The following is a 19,876-nucleotide window of genomic DNA, read 5'->3' on the forward strand; positions in this document are numbered from 1 at the left end:
TTCACTCCCTGGCATGCACTGCTATATACTCTTGCCATATATGATCCTATGGCCTCCTCTATTACAATGACAGAAACTATAGAATCTTTTTTTTTTTTTTCTTTTTTTGAGACAGGGCCTTGCTCTGTCACCCAGGCTGGAGTGCAGTGGTGTAATCATAGCTCACTGTAACCTTGAATTCCTGGGCTCAAGTGATCCTCCAGCCCCAGCCTCTTGAGTAGTTGGGACTACAGGCATGAGCCACCATGCCTGGCTAATTAAAAAAAAAAATTGTAGAGACGGTATCTCCCCATGTTGCCCAGGCTGGTCTCAAATTCTTGGTCTCAAGTGATCCTCCCACCTCAGCCTGCCAAAGTGTTGGGTTTACAGGTGTGAGCCACCATGCCCAGCCCAGAATAACTTCTTTAAAATAATTACCGGTACTTGTACATGAATGTTCATAGCTGCATTATCCATAACAGACAATAAGTAGAAATAGCCCAAATGTCCATCAAGTAATGAATAGATTAAAAAATGTGGTATATCCATACAATGAAATGTTACTCAGCATTAAAGAAAGAATGAAATACTAATACGGGCTATAATATAGATACCATTTTAAAAGATTACGCTATGTGAAAGAAGCCAGTCACAAAAGACTTTATATTGTATTATTTCATTTACATTAACAGTCCAGAATAAGCAAATCCATAGAGACAGAAAGTAGATCAGGGATTGTCTACTGCTAGGGCTGAAAAGAGTAGTTGCAGGAGAAACGAGGAGTGACTTGAAAATGGGGATGGGATTTCTTTTGGGGGGTGATAAAAATGTTCTAAAATTGTGCGCTGATGGTTGCACAACTCTGTAATTAATAACCAGTGATTACTAATACTGGTTAACCTATTAACTAATAATCAGTGACTAATACACTGTAAATGGGTAACTCCTATGGTACGAGAATTATATCTCAATAAAGGTCTTATAAAAAACTAAGTTCTAGATTCAAAATTTTATTTCTTATAGCACAAAAGATATTACCCCAGTGAAAACAATAAAATCTTATAATGCTTTCTCCTACTATGGAAAAATCAAGGTTTAACCCATGTACATAAAAGAAAAATGGTATGCACATGTCTTCAGAATTATCCGTGTGGACATTAAATATTTTCAGATGATGAGTTTTAAAAAGAGTCCAAAAATAAGCCCAGAAAATGCTTAAGTCTGGGTTAGCCTAAACAACTTGGATGGTTTCAGTCTAATGGAAAATGACATCACAAACTAAACAGGTATATTAAGGGATTTTGGGAAAGAAAATAATGTAAGAAATGAGAAAAACAAGGGAGATACCTGAAAATCAACCCCAAAAACCCATCAAGTAACAGAAAAACTCCAAAGGATATTTACCCATTCATTTTTATGACACATTTATGTACCCAGTGCTGTGGAGATAAAGATATATGTAGGACACTGTCCCTTACCCTTGAAGAGCTCACATTCTAGAGTGTGGGATATTGTTTACTTCCACCATGGAAACAAACCTTACTCGAAGGCAAAAAGACTGGGAATCATGCTCACTGCTAAAGCTAAAAATACAGATTTTTATCTTTGAAATTATCGCCTTGATTTACCAGGAAATTACAGGAAAAGAATCATATGGATTTACTTATGACTTGTAGTTACAACAGACAGACTAGCACCATAAGGTAACTCAGAATTTGGAGACACAAGAAAAGGTCATATTTTAACTATTAAGATAGTAAAAAAATAAAATGGGTGAGTTTAGCCATCTGCAGAAGCCATCCATGTACATATGTAATACCAACAGGAAACCATTTCTAACTGGGCTGCTCATGCCCAATTACAATCAAGTACATCAGGAGGTCCTTGGTCTTCTTCTTACACAAACTCTCTTCCTAGGAGGTCTCTGTCCTCTCCCCAGGCTTCCATCTCCGCCACAACCATGACCCCTTCCCGCAACTCATTACTCCTTAATCAAGACTTCTCTTCTAAGGCTTCAGACCTATCTCTCCAACATTCTCCTGGATGGCTCCATTAGCCATGGGCTCTAGAAGCTGAAACTTGCTAAGCACCAAGCCACACGAGGTTGATATACTGATTATGCAAGCTCTAAAATTTCAGTGCCAGGAAAGGAACAGCCTTCCTCAAGTAGCATTACACAGGACCATATAGTAGCTACACATCTTTGTAACTTATACCTTAATCTTACTTTGAGATGAAAGCTATACCTGCATTTCTGTCATAAGATAAAGAGGGAGAAATATCTTCCCATGTGTTGATGATACACTTTAAAATCACAATCCAGGAGAGGCCTCAAGCAACAACTGGCCTTTGCATCTAACTACTTACAAAGAAAGATTCCACAGTAATTGTGATGAAGCTAAAGGTGCTGTCTTTGGTAAACATCTTTCAAAGTTCAATCATTTCACAAGAAAGAACTCCCGATAGCAAGTTAATTGCATCAAGTCACTGGTGGCAATTTTTCTTGGTGGTTTGGGTGAAAAGCCAAGTTATTCGGTGGGATATTCTACAAAAATGGTGCAAAGAATTTTCTATGATCATGAGAGTTAATTTAATACCTATCTTTAGATTTTTCAGACTAAATCATTCTGGCTTCTGGGTCTACAGGGTAACTGCTTCACCACTAGAGCATATGAAAAGTTACTTTTGTGCGAAAAATCCAGGCTTCCTACGTGGGCACCTGTTATAGCTTTATCTTCTGATGTTCCCAGAGACACAACGGATAGGCTTCTCAACAACTACAGTAGAGAGTCAACTATGCTATCTCCTAGACTGGTTTTCAAAGTTTACTTCAGACTTGAATTTCTTTACCAAAGTGTGTTCCATATAACATTGCAGTTGGGCTCGAGGTCAAGTAAGTGGGAGCAACATGAGGTTAGACAAAGCTAATCAGGTTTCTTCACTTCCAAACTCCTCAGTGCAAATGCTAACGTAATGATGACTTTCCAGTATGAGTGCTTTCAAAGTTTTACTGTCCTTGGAATCCTTTTTTTCTCAGAGTATCTCAGTGGTATTCTGCAGAATACATTTTAGGCAACAGTGACCTTTATCCTTGGAGAACTGTCACCCTATCTTTGGTGTTTTAATGTTAAGCTTTCCACAATTATCAAAGGCCATGAGAAACAGCCACATATAATTTCCCTTGGGATTTGTTATAAAAATGTTGATAAGGACACTAGCCAATAATCACTTCAAGTGTAACGCTGCTTAAGAGTTCAGGACCACCACCCAAGTTTGAATACAGGTCCTATTACTTGCTGGCCATATGAAGTGTCCTTAATACTCTGTGCCACGTAATCCTCTGGAAACAGCCTCTCTTTCATAGGGTTGTTTTAAGGATTAAATAGGAGTTCATATGTACTCAGAACAGTTCCTGTCCATAGCAATCACTCAAAGGACAGCTATTTTTGTTATTATTATTATTACGTAGAGCCAGGAAAACAATGATGTTTCTTTAGGATGCTGCGTGCTTCTTTAATTCAATATTAAGAGACAGACAAATCTTTGTTTCCTATTATCTCCCTGGCTACAGGGAAGCTCAAACTGAATCTGAAGCTTAGTCAAATCAACTATGCTAATCCCTATGATGTTCATTGATCTATTATTTATATTGCAGGAATTGTATTGCTATGACTTTTTAAAGAATCCTTTCTGAAAACTGAATACGTAAAATCAACATAGGAAATTTCCACTTGAAATGTCCTTGGGCAAATAGAATTCAGTATGTCTGATACGTAGCTCTTTCTCTCCATGCACTAACCCTTTGCAAATCAGGAGTTTTTCCTGGGTGCACTAGGTTGCTTTTGTTTGTTTTTCAATGATCATTTCCCAGTTCCCAAATTAAAACTTTCCGTAACACCAGATGCCTCCCCCTCTCCATTTTCCCTTGGTCTCATTCATTCAGTGACCTTCTAATTTCTCCATCCCCTTCTTCACTTGCCTAAGACATCCTTAGTTAAGAACCTGGCATCTTTTAATGGACTATTCCACTGTGCTTCTACCAATCTTCATGGCTTTAGCTTTCTGCCAGGTCAGTTATTTTTCTCAATCCTCCCCCCCGTCAAAAAGCCATCACTGTTCACCTGCTTATAGGATAAAACCCAAACTCCTTAGTATGATGCACAAAGTCCTTTAAACAGTAGTCCCCACCTACCATCCCACTGCCCTCTTATTCTCCTCATTCCAAGCCACACATTACTCACTGGTCCACCAGTCTGGAAAACTCATCCTTCCCCCATCTCTCAGACTGGAAAACTCCCATTCAGTCTTCAACTCTTAAACTCTCTTTGTAAAGGCCTCTCTACTCCCTCTGATAGAATAAATCATTCACCTCTGTGCCCCCAGAGCACTTGTAACAGTAGGATATAAGTAGTTGTTTCTATTTTAACTTTTTTAAAATAAATTTTGAGCTCCATGAGGGTAAGAACCAAGGCTTATTCATCTTTGTAGTCTCATAATTTTAAAATTACATTAAGCACTCAGTAACTATCTGCAGAATTGAACAGAATTACATCCTCAGGCCTGGAAAGTAGCTAAAGAAACTCATGACCATAATCAATTCTACTGTAGAGGGACAATTGGCAAATGAAGGCCAACAGGAGGATGAGGGTCTTCATGAAAAATCTAAAAAAAAAAAAAAAAAAAAAAGGGAAATTGGATTGTAAGAACATAAACTCTTATCCAGCATGTTCTAGGGAGATGGCAGCTGTACTTGTAAGATGTGAATATTCTAATCGCCAGAGGGGTGCTTCAATTTTTTTGTAGTATGAAGCAGTCCTCACAAACATCCAATTTTAGATGCCAAGATTCTAGGCTCACCAGAACACAATTTGATTTTTATTGTGATTCCTAAGACACTGGATTCTAAGACACAGGATGCTGTGTGCCGAAAAAATGAATATATTCCTCATTTTAATAGATCTAGTATTTGCACTTAAACCAGATGCTGTCTCCTCCTAAAAAAGCTTTAAGGCAACCTTGATAACATTTTAATACAAGGCAGTTAAAAAGAGAGATAATTAGGATAAAGGGAGAAATAAACTTTCATTCTGGGTTATCCATTCACTGCCATGAACTGCATACTATGAATCAGTCCCCTCAGACTTCAATTAACTTTGGATAAACTGAAGGAAATTTAGTTACACTGGCCCTGCTAGTTAGAAACTGAGTCTGTGAATAATGGTGATTCCACTTCTACCATGTTCCTGTCCTCCCTGCCTGAGTAGAGCTGAGATGGTTGACCCCATTCTTACACAGCTTCTTAAATGTGGCATGTATGCCCTTCAGCTCTTATTCATCCTTGCCATAAAAGGTCTTGGCTTTCTGATTTCTGTGATCAAACTAGCTCCCTTTGTCTCAAGAAGGGCTCTGTAGCCCTTTGTTTTGGGGCCCATGTCACCAAATGATATAGTTTGGCTGGATCTCCACCCAAATCTGATCTTGAATTATAGCTCTCATAATCCGCACATATCATGGGAGGAACCCAGTGGGAGGTAACTGAATCATGGGGGTGGGGTTTTCCCATGCTGTTTTTGTGATAGTAACTCTCATGAGATCTGATGGTTTTAAAAAGGGCAGTTCTCCTGCACATGCTCTCTTGCCTGCCACCGTGTAAGACATGCCTTTCCTCCTCCTTCACCTTCTGCCATGATTGTGAGGCCTTCCCAGCCACACGGAACTGTGAGTCCATTAAACCTCTTTTTCTTTGTAAATTGCCCCGTATGAAAATGGACTAATACACCAAGTAACTTGAATGCCTAGTTTCGTTAAATGTATCATATACCACGCTTTCCTCTCCACTCCAACTTTAAAAACATGTGGGAACAGCCGTAGGAATCAGTCTTGAATTATTTCCAGTGATGTCTACTGGACATTTTAACATTCATTCCATTATGCTTCTTTCCTCCCTTCCTTACCCTAAATTCCTTACCTACCACTTTGTCTTCAGAGGCAGTCCTTCCTCTCATTCAAGGTCACGCCTCCTCCCATACTTTAGTTCCCTAACCCTTCTCTCTCCTGCCTCCTGTGGGAAAATGCTCCCATCATTCCCAAGCTCTGCCCTCCTCTTCTTCTGGCACATTTCTCCAGCATGTGAAAATTAGAGATTTTTAAGTAAAAAGAGAAAACCAGAGTGAACACTGCACGACACTGTGTGAAGTAACCCCAACAACCATAAATATGTTTGCAAATATTTGCATATGTAGAGAGCATGTTTGGAAGGAAACACAAGAAACCAAGAAAGATGGCAGCCTCCAGAGCTGGAAACACCACAGCCAGGGGAGAAGGTTGGAGAAGGATTCACTTTTCTCTATATGTCTTTTTGAACCCTTTGGATTTTGTATAATAATATACATGTATTCTCTACTAAAAATAAAAGTAATTAAATACACACTTTAATGTTCACATCTTCCGGAGTTCTACCAAATCCAGTGTTCTCCTTCTGCTACATGCTCCCGGGATATATAAATTCATTCTCACGGTTTCAACTACCACCTGTGAGCTGGCGACTCACAGTCCTAATATCTCAGGCTTATATCCTTTCTACAAGCATCAGAGTTCTATCTCTCAGACTGTCAGACATTTACACATGGAGATGTCACCAGGACCTCAACTCGACCTCTTCCATACCTCATTTATCACCTTCCAGCTACTCAGCCCTTCAGGAAGGACCTCTAATAAACACTGCTGCATTAAAGGATGGACCTGCTGCAACTCCTCCTGAATTATCAGTCCCAGCTGCAAATAACTACTATCATCTTGTTTTGTAGTTACCAGCCCTGGGAATCATTCCTTCATACCCTAGTCCCACAGAACTACCGAATCAAACAGCTCTATCCTCCCCCGAAATATCACTCAGATCAGCCTGTCTACTTCATTTCTATCACCTTACTTAAGGCTCTAATCATCTCTTTCCTGGGCTCCCATGTGACTCCCCCCAGCTTGATTTCCTCGTTCCAGCATCGCTCTTTTCAAAGTTACCCTCCGCACAGCTGCCTGTGTGGCGTATATTCATGTCAATATCATGGCCTGACTCCTGGATCACACCCTTGAGTTGCTCCCTAGACTAGGCACGGAGGCAGCAACTCTGCAGTGGGTACCACACCCTTCCCGACCTGCCCTTGCTGACCTGGTCAGCCTCATCTCCTCTCATTCTTTGCCTTCTTAAAAAAGGTAATACAACTGCAGTTTCCCTCAAACAAACTCTGCCATTCCTCACCCTGACACCTTTGTTTATATTCCATAGGAATGCCCATTCCTAACCTCTTCAGATTCCCTTCATTTTGGCCATCTTTTCACCATCATTGGAGACTTGCACAAAGACCTAATGAAAGAACATTGAATAAAGATTTCCCGTAGCTATGAAGATTGATAGCTACTAGACTAGGTCCAAAGTCATCAAGTCAATTACAAAGTAAAGCAACGGGATCATGATTTCCAGCTACTTTAATTCAGTGGTATCAGTAACTGATCTAGAACTTCTTTGACTGTAACAATAATAATCTTGCACAATCACTGGAGGAATTTAAAGGAAAAAGAGAAAACTCAAATTTTGGCTTCATAAGGTCTTACTGCCCAACAAGACATATGAAAGGTCCTGAGTAGGTATTAAGAATCTACAGAGTTCCCTCGTGTTATATAACATCTACTAACAACTTTAACTTTAGACTTTATGGTGAATTAGGTTAATATTTAGCCACCTTGTTGACTTGAGAACAATCTAATCAATTTGCTCTGCAGGTAGTAGAACGACAATGTCTTTGTCTCTCAGAAAGGCTACCTTTTCATTGCTAGGATCATACCTTGAATTTCAGAGCAAGTCTTGGTTTATTTAGACAGTGCAGAGACAAATACATCTCTGTATTTGAACACTACAGGCTTAAGTCAGGAGACTGAAGGCTTTAATCAACGCAAGAAAAAAAAGTAAACCTTGAGTCTGCAATGCTAAGGACACACAATGGGGCAAAAACCCAAGATCCAGTGGCTCTTTGCCAAATAAAGATGTATCTGAATTATATGTGGTAATGAGGGAGAAATATGATGCAGAAGCGAAATATTAAAGATTAGATATCTCACTAACACCATTAGTCATCCAAACTTATGGGAGGCACTATGGGAAAAACTCAGTCAGATTTAGCTTTTACTCAGAGCTTTAGCCTTATCTCTGTGGCATCAACCAAGAATCAGAGAACACCAATGTGGGATACATACAGTGCCTGTGATTTGGAAAACGGGTTCTTAACATTCTAAATTTATGACAAAGCCATGCCTGGTGCTAATCAAGGCAGTTTGAAAAAGGGGAGAATTTTGAAAAGCAAGCAGAAAACAAAGTCTTTGAAAGGCTTTTCTCTACGAAATTAGGTTTGTAAAAGAACTTTAGTCAAAAGTGCATGCATGTATGCTACAATTAAAATAAATTCAGCTTCAATTCATTTATTCATTAATGCATTCAACAAATATTTATTGAATACTATGTGCAACAACCAGGAGAAATGGAATTCTAAAGGCAGAGATAAGATACCTCTGAGACACTTCTCAAACAGCCATCCTCTGTTTTTCTAGGGGGTTGTAGGGAGGTGTCATGAATAAGAACAATTAATGGAATTTAATAAATATCTAGTCAGGAATGGGGCTCTCCAGGCCTCTCTCTTTTGCTGTTATTTGGAGATAAATCACAGCTAAAGGAACATAAAATATATATATTAACAGATCAATAAGTACACATCCAAAGGACTTGGGGCAATCTCAATTTTAAATATACTTTCTTATTTTCTCTAAAAGTATGCTCGTATTTGTCAGATTGCGTAGCCCAATGCTGACTTAGGACATAGCCAGCTAGACATGCACAGAGAGGGCATCTAAAGAATTCCTGGGTTTTCTCAACAGGAAATGGCAAATTAAAGGCTCCTTAAGCAACACTGAATTCAAGGGTAGCGAAGGCAAATCTAGGGCTCTGAAGCTCCTTGCGCAGAACTGCAAGAAGACAGGACAGGGCAGATCAAAGAAAACACACGGGCTGTTTTCAGGAAGGGAACTCTGTGGAGACATTTCTTTGGAATTTGGTAGAAGGTCAAATAGGACAAAATGAAGGGACAATGAAGGAAGCTCATCCTGATCATTTCGTGAAGGTCAAGGTAACTTACACAAAGATTTGCATCAACCCCAGAGTCCTCATTTTGGAGCTCTAAGTAGGCCTGGTGTTATGTTTTTTGTTCTTTTAGAGAACAAACCATCCCATTCTTGGAGAATGGTCTTGGATATCTTCCAGGGTAAAGCGGTTATCGCTGTGCCACAAGTAGATGAACAGGTTTATTCCGGGACACTCAGTCCTCATAGATAGTCCCTCAAGTTAAGGCACATTCTGGGGAATATGCCGCAATTCTATGTAAATGACATTCACAGAGACTTACTCTTCTTTATTATCTGGTTGAAGGCAGAGTTGCCTATTTAGAGTCAGAAAAATCTGGATTTCAATTCAGTTCTACCACTGGCTGACTGGGAAATCTGGGGCAAGCTGTGTGAACCTCTAAGAACCTGTGTCTCATTCACAGAAAGGCGACAGTCTCTTCTCCATAGCGTTTGTAAGAAGATTAAATGATCTAAAATATGTAAAAGTGCACTCAAAATGATAAAATGATAAATAAATGATAGTTATCAGTACTCTTTACAAACATTCTTTGACCCGGGTGCAATGGTACGGAGAAAGACTATGCTAACCACAAACGAGGCAGGGCTCTTGACCAATGAGCTCAAAAGATATATTACACGATCATATACTTCAAAAATATATTTACTCCTTGGTAACATCAAATTCTATTTACAGTGTCAGTTCCAACTTTTTATTCCGATTTGACTTTGACCCCTACAATAATTACAGATTTAACATAAATGGATATTACTGATTATTCTCAATAAAGTAGAAATGTTTTCTCTACCATGGTCTTCACTGACAAATGATCTCAAAAGTACGGCCAAAAATAAAGCTATCATTAAAACAACAAAAAAAGTTCAATATTATCTCGTGGATGGTACTCATGTGATGTTCTTGCTGTATTTTCAGGTTTTTAGCAAACATTTCCTGAGTAGCCATTAAATATTCAAACCATGCTAAGTACTCTGGAGGATATGAAGATGATTAAGATACAGTCCATGCCCCAAAGACACACACTAGCTCATTAAAGAGAGGCACTGGTAATAACTGATAAAAAGGAAAACTGTCAAGGAATTTTCTGAGAAAGGTCCAAAGTGCTCTGGGAATAGAGGCAAAAGACAGATTTCTTCCAACTGCAGGGATCTAGCAGGGCTCCATGGGGAAAGTTATTTTGAGCAGTGTGATGGAGGATAGGTGGGATTCCTTTGTCAGATACGGCAGTGGTGGGTTAGAGGTTAGCAGTTAGGCTGAGACTCAAGCTTGAGCTTGACCCCAAAGGTAGATGAGAGCAGGATGTATTCAGAAATACTAGCTACAACAGCATAGCCAGAACACAGGGAGAACAAAAGAAGATGGCATAGAAAAAGCAAGTCAAGAGAATATTGTGGAAGGGTTTGAACGCCCCACTAAGAAGCTTGATTTTTTTCTACATGCAGAAATCCAGTGAAAGGGGAATGCCATGATGGGTCTTGGTTCTGGCAAGATGTACAAGTAGAGTCAGTATGGAGGATTTATTGCAAGGGTGGGAAAGAGACTAAAGGGAAGCCAACCAGATAAGGAGCTATGGCCATAGGTAAAAGGTGTTAAGAGCTAGAAGGCTCGCAGTGGCAGCAGGAAGCAATGGAAGAGTGGCAGTTTGTTTTTTCATCCTGAAGTGGCATACTCCCGAGGGCACTGATCTCAGACACACTGCGTTGCCTACGTTAAGAGCTTTTGGTGCCTTGGGCTCAACCAAAGAGATGAAAGTACTTAAGACCCACAAATCTGAGCAACATCTACTTTAAATCCTTGCTTGGTGGCATCTGTCTGAAGAAGGCACATTGTGAGTTAGAAGTGATCATGTGAGAAGACTTTTTAAACCAAGGGACCTGTGACATAATAAATGTAATACAGAACTGAAAGTCCAATGATTTGCATTATCCTGACACAATACAGTACCCCAGATGTTTACATCTTTGTCCTCCCTGCAGTCATTATGAGAGTTCTTTAGCCTTTTTCTCTTCTACAATTTCTGCTATTTTTACATGACTGTCTTTTACAGGTGATGGCTGACAATTGGAATTGTCTCACTAACCTGCTATGATGGTGAGCATAAATAATAATTTCTGCATTTGATGATGAAAAATAAGATGAAACAATTGGTTTCCCAATATGACCAAGCCAATAACCCTACTTTCTTAAATGTTTGAGGTAGATAATATGGCCAAACACATGTAAAAAAAATCATATAATCATAAAATTAAATAACCTACTTTTTTCTTAAATTCTATTCTGAAATATAAAATCAAAGCCTTGGAGACACATGCAACAAGTCAAATACCACCATCAGCATTAACTCCTTCACACCTAAAATATGAGTTCTTCATCATACTATTGCATCCATTGTCTTCTTTCAGATAACAAAAAAAAAAAAGAGAGAGAGAATCTGCAAATGGAGCTAAACAGATTATTTTAGAAAACAATTAGACATAAAATGACTCTAAGTGAAGATTCCTGGCACTTTTCTATGTGTGCAAGTGTATGCACTCTGCATACCAATGACAAAGCTAGAAAGAAAACTCACCTGTTTTCTTCCTCAAGATCTGCTAGGATTCTCTCTAGCTCCCCTCTTTCCTCACTCTCTAAGGAAATCAAGATCTGGGCAGGACTACGAGGCTGGCTCAGGGGGGAGTCCTGGTTCAAACTTTGGCAGTAATGCTGGATTAACAAATGTTCATCATCTCTGGAAAATAAAATCAAAGGTTTTGGTTTTTTCCCCCCCTTATTTTGCTTTGGGGGTTAGGGACTCAGGAGTGTATTTGAAAATAGAAACATTTATTTGCTCTTAACAATTAATTAGACCTTTTTTCCTGCTTCTAAAGACCTTTTGATACTGCTGAGGTTGTGATCTACCATTCTACTGGTACCAATTCAAAGTGTTTTCTTGCTCAGATTTTCAAATGAAATTGATTGGCCTATTTACACGGATAAATGAAAGGCAGAATTACAGAAATACTGGGACTCTACGTTGATGTTAGTCAATAGCTAAAAAATATTAAAAGATATAATAATGGCTGTATAATGCTTTGGCCACCAAGCCTGTCAAGATAATCTGTTCACTAACCCACGCTATTGTTGTACTGAGTAGGAAAAAATACCTTGCAGCTCTAAAAGTAACAGAGGAAATATTTTATTAAGTGGAAGGCAATGTAACCAAAAAGTATTGCTTCAGTAAGTCAGTTTTAACTTATATAAGTCATTGAGGCAGAATGACAACAACAATTAAACTGGAGATACATGATTGTTTCATTCAGTTATTGTTTAGACAGAAGAACGAAAATTAAGGGGAAAAAAGACATTAAGGTGACTGATTAAAAGAAGACTGAACATCTCATTCCTCGGGGCAGAGTTTTTTTAAATACAAGTTTTATTTATTTTTAAATTTATACATAATGGTTTTAAGGACTAATCTTGCGGGAAAAGGAGGCAAAAAGGCTTCTATTTGGGGAGGCAGCTACAATCTTTCCTGGAAACTAGGAACTCTCTAATACACAGGACAAACTTTTTTCTGAATGCATTGCTCCAAGCTCCGGAAAGGCCTGTTTACCTCCAAGTTATAAGAATTTTCTTCTGTCCGTAATGACAGGCTAAAGCTCATTGTTTCTGGTTAGATATCATTAAGATGATACGCTAATATTCTCCTCTCCATACCCACTTAAGTTGAAAAATATCAGAAATTTAGGAAAAAGTCCTTCTCATTTGAATTATTTTTGTTTATCAAGCCAGTTACCTGGTTTAGATGTGAAAAGCTGACTAAAAATAATTATTGGGTATTAAAAACACACATTTAAGTGAAGTCAACCAATCCACCAAACCACTTCCCCAAACCTGCCCCTAAAATGCCATGAGTTTTTGCCATCCAACATTGAGTCAAAATGGATTTTATGTCCTCAGAATAAGCTAAAGCTTATTTTAAAATAAAACAAAAGCAGTTTTACCACCTAATTTATCACACTCATTCCAAATTCTGAAGTTGTACTGCTAGAACTTCCCATGTTTAATTATAACCTAGAGTTGTAACTACACTTTTCTTCCTGTTCTCTTAGGCAGTCAATGAATGACAGCCACTGTTACGTAGATACAACTCGAATTAATCTGAATGTGCTAGAGCTTCTAATACCAAAATCAGTGAGCCAAAGAAGCACAAGCTATTTACATTTGGCTGATTCTTTGGCCACACATTTTACTGTTGAAGTATCTTATATATTAGTACCATTAATACTTTTTCCCATAGCTAAGAAAGATAAGGCATCACAGTTATGGTTGGGGAAAGGCTTTTTTGTTTGTTTGTTTGAAGGAAGTAAGTCATATACAAATGACTGAGGGTTGACTTGATTCTTTATTATTAGCTTGATCGTTTATGTACCAGATGAGATTATTTATTCTCATGTCTTCAATAACTAGTTATATATATGCCACTTTGATACTATTTCTTTTGGCCTAATCCTTATGAAGGTTCTTTTCTCATCTGAGCATGACTTTGTGTTGCCACACCAACTACATATGATAAATTTACCATTCTTCCCTTTGTCTATATTCTCCAAGATGGGTGAGATATCCTTACTTTATCAAACTAAAAAGGCATCGTAATACTTTGACTAGATTTCTTCTCTTTATGTTATTTATTCACTTGGCAAATCCTTATTTTTTCCTTCATATTTGCTTCAATGTCTGCTCTCTCTACCTCAAGCCCCGGTCAGCATTTACTTGGTTCATGGCAATGTTCCTTTGTGCTCTGTATTGTGAACACTGCCCTCACTCTATAATGAAGCCTGTTTCCCTGCCATAGCTGTGTTCCCTGCTGCTCTTAGCACCGCTCTATCTCCGTCCTTAAAGTTTAACAGGGTTGGCTTATCATCCTGCTAACAACCTGCAACCTGAATTGGTACTTCTCCTCTGGAAACTCTTCATAAGATTGCCTCACTTTATTTATCTTGTGAAGATGCTAAATCACAAAAATCTACTTCTTTGGATTTCTGAAGGAAAATGCCCAACTAACCTACCATATGTGAATAGCCATGCTATACCAAGATCACGTTTCCACTCCCCATGAGTGGAGAAAATAGTACTTAGCCATGACTTTAAAATTAATATCCTATCCCTTTAAATATCTGGCAGGTTTGGTCAAAGATTAAGCATTACTATAAATACTTGGGACTCTGCAATTTGTAATCATATGGTATGAAATAAGTTCAAATAAGAGTAAGGCAAACTATTTTTGCTACTCTGAATACTAATAATGCCAGAATTTGGATGAGCTCATTCCATGCCAGGGCATTAAGAATTAAAGGAAAAAAGTAAATGAATGGCTCCTTAAAAGATCAAATGAATATGATGCTAATTCCTATATCCTGTGCTATCCTACCTCTAAATCCCTCAAAGCAATTTCATTGTCAGGAACATTTTGTAAAAAGAGATGGGATACTTACATGCTCTCATTAGGAGAGATGCTATCATTTAGATAAGATCCATTGCTGTTTTCCATTTCTGCTAGCCTGATAAAAAACGTAAAAGCTCATTAAAACTTATGTGACGTCTTAGAATCTATTCAAGACCTAATCGAACATTCCTGAAAACTAAAGGATAAATCATGGCAAGAAGAGAAAGGAATCCTTCAAATTAAAGGATGTGTGTGTTGGCTTAACCATTTGAGGCAGTGTGTGGTAGACCACAGCTAGTTAGTAGCACTACATTTATGATAGAAATTCTAAGGAAAGTTATATTTCACTGTTTTCCCCCTACAGATCAGTCTTGCTTTCACTGAGAACAGGTCTTTGTTTTCAGAAGAAAAGCTTCCCTAACAATAAGTGCACTCCCTACCTTACACTACCCCTTGTCTTTTAGGACAATTACTACTTTCCACTGATGACAGACTTACACAGCTAGCTAATGCTTTTCACGATTGGTAAACATGTCCAGCAGTTAGAATATTGACAAAGGATGGATGCACAGTAAGCTCTCTAAACATTCTGCCACCAATTTTTACCTTTAAAATCTTCTTCACCTCAGGCAATTATACAGGGGGTTTTTTGTTTGTTTGTTTGTTTGTTTTTTTACAACTAAAAAAGTTAACCAAACTCTTACGGATTTAACAAGCATAAAATATTTTAAAATTAGTAATTCAGTTTTTAGGTATAAAAATCATCTCAAACACAAAGAAGGTGAGACAGAAAAGTCCAAGGATTAGGAAAATTAATTATTCTCTTCTTTACAGCATATCATGTAAAATAAATACACAAACGGAAAGCTGATGCTTTCATATTCTCCATATAATATAGTATCATTTTTTCATATATGAATGTCTGGTCTAGCAGTTTTCTAAGGAGGTTAAACTATTTGTAAGCCAATTTAGTAAATGTGCTCAGTATAAAAAAACATAGCAAGGCTACCGGAAATGTTTAAAAGCCAGGGTTAGGGAAGATTATTCTGGACTAATGCTCTTGTTGGTGACCAAAAACAACATGCAGTGGAACGGCATGCACGTTAGAGGGCAAGTTGATTAGTAGGAATCAGACAAGTTTGGGGAAAAAAAGAAAAGATTTGTTTAAAATATCATAGGTTAGCTTTCCTTGGTTAGTTATTTCAATCAATATTTGCCTGGCATACAACTAGTCTCATACCTGCTAGCATAATGTTCAATGCGTGAATGAGTATCATCGTGTGAAAGCTGAGGGGACGAGGCAGGCCTATAAGGCAGAAAATGTGATTAGTCACAGATACCATCCATTAATGGAGAAAAAACCCACCACACAGTTATGTTATACACATGGCCTAGAATGCTTTTATTCTAATTCTATGGATAATGTATACATTTAGTTGCTCCTATATCTTAAATATTATCAAGTATTTTAAAATCCAGGATTGAGAGATGATTTCTCATACTTCTGCTTTTATTAAAAGCCATGAAGAGAGGCCAAAATCTTCTCTGGAAAATTCCCATCGTAGAAAAGGTTGGGGGAGACAGTTTCTAGGAAGCATTTTGTCCTCCTACTTTGTAATTTCTCACATCCTATAATTCCGAAATTGTGTTAGCCCTATGTGGTTTAAAATTTTAAATAGTTTACACCTGCGCCATTTATAGGCTATCTTCTTATTGGATCAAAGCTGTATATCTGCCTAGATACTTACAATTATTTTAGCTTCAAAGAGGCTACTCTAGTACAAGACTTCTTAAAACTCCATGTATCAAGATGTCTTGATCTATGCAATTTTGTAAAGAAGAAATGTATCTTCCAATTCAGCAGCAAGACTATACCACTAATTTCTAGCACAAAATAGAATGACCCTGGATTATATTGTGAGGTTTTAAAAAAGAATGACTAAATTTCATAGAACGTCATGATATCTGAAATATTTCTTAGAGATACTGTGTGCTAAAACATAGGTGAGAAAATAAGAGGAGATCATTAGCAGGAATAGTCTATATGCTTTTTGTATATAAACACCTATCTTTTCTTATCTCCATAGGCTAGAATTCTGGTAGGGTTAACATTTTTTCATCCTTTCATATCTGATCTATTAATTATCCTTGAAGTTTTTATAGTATCTTTTGGATTAACCTTAGGAAAAAAAACCATCTGTTCTGAAAACCAGTTTAGGCTTGGACTTTTTCTTTTAATTGGAATAGCACAAAAGGTCTCTTCCATTTCTCTGCTGACACAGAAAGCCCTTAGGTAAAGGCATAAATCCAAAAGTCAACGATAATGTAATTCAGAGAGGACCCTGGTTTAGCCCAGTGTCCAAGTAGCGTTGAAGGACTTGGTTGAAACACTAAGGAGAATGTGTTTGTTTCTTCTTACATTAAAAAAGAAAAAGATGCAGTTACCAGTAGCTAAGCTTGCATTAGAAAATGTGCCAGAAATTCATATTTCTTAATATACTACAGTAAGATAATTACGACACACTATAGCAAATAACTAGGGAAATGGAATTCTTCCCTGAGAGAGAAAGGTCTTATTTATGAAACCAATGTCATCTAGGTCAAGTGTAATCATAATCAAATTGAAATGAGTTATAAAGACGTTTAAATTGTCAAGAGGAAACAAAACGATGACTACTCAATTTAATAAGCAGATCCAAAGATTTCCATGTGAAACTTCACTATAGTTTTGGAGAGTTAATCTGTTAATCTTCTAGAACCCTGGCATAGCCCATTATTAGAAAAATGCTAAGGTCTGTTTTGAAATCTTCACTGCAGATCAAGATAAATTAATACTTGGATTATTTGTATTATAAGAACTATCTTTTGGAACAGACCAGTCTTTCAATTACATATTTTTTTAATAAGCAAAAAGCCTACCATCAGGGAAAATACATTAGTAGTGTTTTCCCTTGTAATAGTTGCTATCCTGGAAGTGTGTACAAGAATGAAAGCCTAAGACCTTGGAGCATAAGTACACCAAGAAAAGTAGGCATATAAATCCAAAATACTTTAATACCATTTTATACAGAAAATCTTATACAGAGCTTTAATTCTTTGCCTCAAGGATAATTCCATGTTATTTTTCTTATTAATATCAGTGGCGCCTATCACAGCATGCATAAGCACAAGAACTTACAATAACCAGAAATCTTAAAAAATATACACTAAAAGAGACATTTATTAAACCAGAAAATGAGCCAAAAGGGAGTACTGGTCAGAGATGAATCATTTAAAAACCAAGAATTAGTGAAAATACAAAGCCACTTAGTCCACAAACAAAACTAAGTGCAAAGCCTTCTAAAACACTTCCAAAAGAAGGTAATAATACTGTTCCCCGCTTCCCACTTCCTAAACACAAAACCATATACCCAGAAGGATTACTTACTATAAGAGTTAATGACCTACTTGGTCAATTCCATCCCACCCACCACCACCTTCTCTTTTATGAAAACTCTATTAATTAAAAGCTGACATTCATTTAGGTTTCAATGCAGAATCGCTCAAAGAATATCGTTTGACTGGCTCACTTATGGACAGACAACGTAAAGGCCTATGTTAGCTTTAGTTTTAAAGTAATATGACAAACACAAGCAAATAAGAGTTTAGTCTAAGGAAAACCAAACGGTCTGTATCTCTGGAAACTTTCAAATTCTGTGATCCATATCAAATGGATCAAATATTGTAATCATCATAGGATTTGTTAACATTAGATACAAGTCTTGCAAAATGAAACACGTTAGGACCTGGCTCTTATGCCTGAATAGGATGGCTTTGTAATATATTTTATACAGTATTTATAATCCTATGAATAAATACTTTAAATACAATTACTGCTATTAAAGAAAACACAGACTTCAGTCTGCTAGATTTGTTTTCTTCCTCAAAATTAAAACTTCCCACTATTTCTGAATAATCTAACCAACTCTTCATAAAAAGGCAAATTGGGAGGTGTGTTTTAGTTGTTAGAAAATATTTTTAAATAAAAGATGTTATTAATTTTAAAGTCTTTCAACGTTTAAGACAGACAAAATCTTCTACTTAAAATAAGTTAATCTGATTGTCATAATGTTTTTCTCATTAGCTTACGTGTAGCTCCTTTTTGCCTTTCAAGGACTATTAATTACTCTTTGTTTATTATTTGGTGCTACTTTTATCTATGTATTTGTAACAACTGTTCTTTAGCATATTTGTCGTTTGGATTTCTTACTCGGTTAAACTTATTTCCACATAGAGTAAATCCATTCCCTTATCAGGATCCAATCAAGCTGAAACTGTAGTGTATCAACTCTTTAAAAGTTTCTTATTTATGAACGGTTGTAACTTCTATAACAGACTACCTGGGTTAGGAAACACAATTTCCAAGAGGCAGAGGACATAACTGAACCTAAATAACTCCCTAAGTTCTTTAAGCATGATGATTAAATAAATCAGATAATATACTACTTATAGCTACCATATCTCAAAATTAAGGGGCGCAATAACGAAGTTTTAAAAAGGAAAGCATAGCCTTCCACTTCCTTTAGGCCTATTAAAGACTGAAAATAAACCTCAATTAATAATATGCATTTATCACGACAGGGTTTTTAAAAAAGGATCTAGTTTAGATTAAATTATATGGTGGAACAATAAAAAAGATTTAATAAAAAGAAATTGAATTCTTACACAAGCTTATCTTCCGAATTGGTCATTTCCCCTTTATCCATAACAGAGCTGTCTGATTTTCAATAAATATTTTAATAAAGCATACTTTGAAATACCAAAAGTTTGTTATAACAACCCTACATAATGTAGTTTTAAAATAGGCACTTTGTTTGCTAATATAGAAATCACAGGCCCCAAAAAAGAGTTTTCTAGCATTATAAACTCTGAGATAAATCATCTGCTGGTATCTAAGCTCAGTATTATTAATACACACCAATAGTAATAACAAAGAAATACTTTCCTCCTAGAGCAAATGTATAATTGTTTATGAGCTGAATATTTAGCTTGGAGAGGAGAGCAAAGTGAGTTTAGTTCAAAATTTAGAAACCCTTGTATATAATGATTAGTCAAATAGCATGGCATAACCTGATAAACAGTCCGCACACCTCATTAAAATTATTCAACCAAACTCAGCATCATACTTTAAAACGAATTCTGCTGATTTTTAATAGTCCACTTATAACAGACCCTAAAGATTCTAAAAAGCATCGAATCTCAAGAAATATGGCTAAAGAATGTTATTATGTAATCAGAAGCTTCTTCCTTGC

General features: G+C 37.0%; 1 protein-coding gene across 24 annotated transcripts in view, besides 1 other annotated feature; it reads right to left on the minus strand.

Moving 5' to 3' along the window:
* Positions 1–19,876, minus strand: part of DMD (dystrophin) — a 2,220,167-nt gene that overhangs the window by 38,492 nt on the left and 2,161,799 nt on the right. For 20 of the 24 annotated variants that reach the window (XM_006724469.4, NM_000109.4, XM_011545467.2 and 17 more), the window contains 3 exon segments: positions 15,826–15,891; positions 14,635–14,700; positions 11,730–11,888 (listed from right to left, as the gene is read on the minus strand). The exons of the other annotated variants lie outside the window; for them this stretch is intronic. In XM_006724469.4, coding sequence (XP_006724532.1) covers positions 11,730–11,888; positions 14,635–14,700; positions 15,826–15,891 — 291 coding nt within the window. 24 annotated transcript variants of the gene reach the window in all.
* Positions 10,909–10,998: an enhancer, noted in NCBI's record as "active region_29513". NCBI's record gives its function as "activates an Ori minimal core promoter by ATAC-STARR-seq in GM12878 lymphoblastoid cells {active_cell/tissue: GM12878}" and the evidence as "EXISTENCE:reporter gene assay evidence [ECO:0000049][PMID:35858748]".

Source organism: Homo sapiens, chromosome X (assembly GCF_000001405.40).
Source record: "Homo sapiens chromosome X, GRCh38.p14 Primary Assembly".
NCBI lineage: Eukaryota > Metazoa > Chordata > Mammalia > Primates > Hominidae > Homo > Homo sapiens.